Below are 3,684 nucleotides of genomic sequence, written 5' to 3'. Positions count from 1 at the left end.
ACTTTTCTGATGGGAGCCCTTGGGAATTGTGTGGAAACCATAAAAACCCTGCTATTCTCTCTTGAGAGAAAAAATCATAATGCTGAAGAAAAGCTTTAAGACGAAACTATCACAGTAAATGAGAAAATGATATGCCAACCAACAAACTCAAGTCACTAAAATAATAGTTGCTTAGAAAAAGCAAGTCATCGGGCAAGCTAAAAAATTAATAAAAGATTTCAAGTAGTTGGAACTGGAGCTCTGCAGGGCCAGATCCCCAGCTGCAGGGCCTAGAGGCAGTGGTGATACTAGCAATGGTGGTGGTAGTCTCCTGATGGAGCAGCCAGGCCCAGATCATGCTGTGCTGGTTCACCACCGTCATCCTGTTGGCTGCCTTCCCAGGGCTGGGAATGAGTGTTGCTTTACTGGGACCCACATTTCAATATTTTGCCACAAGTTTGAACCAAAATATTAGTCATCTTCCTTTAATTTTTGTGGGCCCTACCTTTGAGTGGCTCTGTGATTGGTGGAGTTCTTTTTGACATCATGATTTTTTTTTTTTTTTTTTTTTTTTTTTACTTTTGAAAGTGTCAGTGTTGGCTACCACAGTTTGTCTTTATCTTGTTTATTTTTTCAAGACAGCTCTATTACTGATTGTCATGATGTCTATCTTTGGTACTTCAATTTGCATTCTGGATACAGGTGGTGATGTCCCTATCTTGGCTGTTTGAAGAACATAGGATCTCCACATATGTAGGCATATTACACTTCTGTTTTGCCTTGGGTGCCTTTTTGGCTCCACTGCTAGCTAAACTGGCATTGGGTACGAGAGTGTCTGTGAAAACCACGCAGTCTGACTTTCACCATCCTGCACTGACGCTGACTCAGAATCTCTGTTTGGAGGACCTGAAGTTATGTGTTTACTGTGGTCTTATGCTCTGAACAGTACTTATATTTTTGTAGGTCCTATCTTTGTTTTTGCTCTGTTTTTAAAGATAAGCTCAAGGTGAGGAAAAGCAAAAGCATCTGCTCAGACATCTCAAAGAACTAAATATCACAATGCCATTTTTTGTCTCCTTTTTCTGTTCTTCATTTCTTATGTTGGAGCTGAGGTAACATATAGCTCCTACATTTTCTCATGTGCAGCCATTCACGCTATTGTGAAATAAAGTGAGGCTACTGGGTTGAACTCCATCTTCTGGGGGACCTTTATGTCCTTCAGGGGACTGGTAATGTTTTTTGCTACATTTTACATCCTGGAACCATGATTGTGTCAAGCAAGATTGGCAGCCTGCCTTCATCTTTATATCTTGTGCTTTTTGGCAAGAGCCTGGTTTGTCTTTGTATAGTAATTCCAGTGTATGGGGCCCTGATGGAAACTACATTTTCCAGTGGTGCTTCTTAGATTGCACAGTACATGATCACACATGAGAAATTTGCAGCATTTTTTGTAATCAGTGCTGTCCTAGAAGAAGTGGCTACTTCTGTAGAAATTGGATTTTTTCCAAAGAAAATACCCTGATTTGCCTGTAGTTCTGTATACATCTGTTTGGGCGTATTGATAGCCACTGGTGTTTTATTTCCTGGGATGTATGAATTAGCCACTTCACCTCTTAATCACCAGAGAAAAGTAAACAGAAAGAGTGAGGTCCAGATACTTTTGCTCTCCAGGTCTGGGCTAAATGACTATGAGGAAGAGAAATGAAGAGGAAGATGCAGAAAAATTGAATGAAATCCATTTTGAAGTGACTGAAATGAATGATAAAATGAAACATTCTAATAGGTACATCTAGAGATATTTTGATAGAGGCCACAGCTGAAGTCTCTGACCAATCCCTCTCAAACGTTTTGGTGTTTGAGTCCTCCTTGGTTAATACTGGCAACTCCCCTGTGAGGCACTTGTCAGAAACCGGGATAACAGGAACTGTTAGTTAGAGAAGATGGATTACTCATTGACATCCTTGAATAATCACCACTTCTAATGAGGCCATTCGGAGGAGAGCATTAGCAGCTTTTCAAATGCTTTGGGGATCAAAATTTCTAGATCCAATGATAGCAAAAGCTAAAAAATTGTAAAATGTTCCATAATTCCCAGAGTCTTCCATAAATAACCAAATGGTGTCATACATGTACAATAGGATCTTGTTATTAGGCTAGTGTTTGGCATGTGGCTGATTAGGAAATATTTTATGGTCTTCATCTCTCAGAGCATGCAAATAAGGCATTTGTTTTTGAGAAGCTGGGTATTGTTTTCATAAGTCACTTATTGAGGGGTAATTCTTGTGTAAGATAAAGGAGAGAGTAAGCAATAGTAATCAGTGCAAACCTTCAGATACAGGTCTATGAAAGAGGAGGGGGCAGGAAGAAGGACTGTATAGAAAGTGTCTTAAACTGAGGTATAGCTGGTATTATGTCTCAGCAAACCTAATAGGAAATTCTAGCATAAAATTGCCTGTAGAGGAGTCCTGTTATGATCAGAAATGGTTACACAATAGATGCCCCATGTTGCCTATTCATTGGTTATGAGCTTTCCAGGAAGAACACCAAATCCTAAAGATACCTGCAGGCAGAGAGGTTCAGCTCATTGCACATCCTGCAACAAATTCCCTCTTAAAGACGGAGCAGATTATATACAGAAAATATGAACGCAAACAAGTAGAAATTAAATAAGTTTATATGCATTTGAAATTAATCAATATGTAATCCTAAATATGAAAAATATAGCATTTTAAATAATATAAACAAGTGAAAGAGACTCTCTAGATTGGATGCAGGTGAATAAAGAATATGTAACTAGAAAAGGTATTGCATAATTAACCACGTAAAAATGTATAAAAATACATTAGAAAATAAGAAAAAACTTACCAAGTTTCCACCTAGAGATGATAAAAAGTAGAGCCAATGGAACCAAAGACGTTGAAAATAATAAAGATAATAATAGAAATCAATGAATTTTAAAACAGGAAAATAACAAAGAAAATCAATAAAAATAAAAAGCTGGTTAGTCACTAAAATCACTAAAATTGATAAACTACTAGCAAGGCTGAAAGAAAAAGAGATAAAATACAGATCATCAATATTAGGAATGAGACAAAAGATATCACTACAGATTCCTTTCCATAAGGAAAAATGGGAATATTAGCAAGAACTTTATCCTCATAAATTCAACAACTTAGAAGAAATGGACCAATTTCTTGAAAATAAAAACCATCTAATACTTATTCCAATATATCTCAGTGTTAAATGCAAAAATTCTCAACACTTTATTAGAAAATTAAATTTCACAATGTATAAATATGATTATACCCAATGACCAAATGAGATTTATTCCAGCTAGGTGAGCTAATTTAATATTCATAAATCAACAAATACTTTCTATCATATCAACATGCTAAATATGATCATGTCAATTGACAGAGAAAAAGTAATCACAAAATCTAACACCTGCTCATGGTAAAACCTCTTAGAAAGTTCACAACAGAAAGAACTATGCTAACCTGATAAAAGAACATCTACAAAAATATCTAAATTTAGCATCATACACTTATTTTTCTTTTTTCCAGAGATGGGGTATCATTCTGTCATCCAATCCTAAGCACAGTGACACAATAGCTCATATCAGCCTTGAATTCCTGGGCTCAAGCAATCCTCCTGCCTCAACCTCCCAAGTAGGTGGAATTACAGGCACAAGCCACCACACTCTGC

At 36.8% G+C, this 3,684-nt stretch overlaps 1 pseudogene; it reads left to right on the top strand.

Annotated features, from left to right (window-relative positions):
* On the top strand, window positions 225–2,105 carry SLC60A2P1 (SLC60A2 pseudogene 1; annotated as a pseudogene).
* Window positions 2,106–3,684: the final 1,579 nt, after the last annotated feature.

Source organism: Homo sapiens, chromosome 5 (genome assembly GCF_000001405.40).
Source record: "Homo sapiens chromosome 5, GRCh38.p14 Primary Assembly".
NCBI lineage: Eukaryota > Metazoa > Chordata > Mammalia > Primates > Hominidae > Homo > Homo sapiens.
This window is presented reverse-complemented; position numbering and strand designations above follow the sequence as displayed.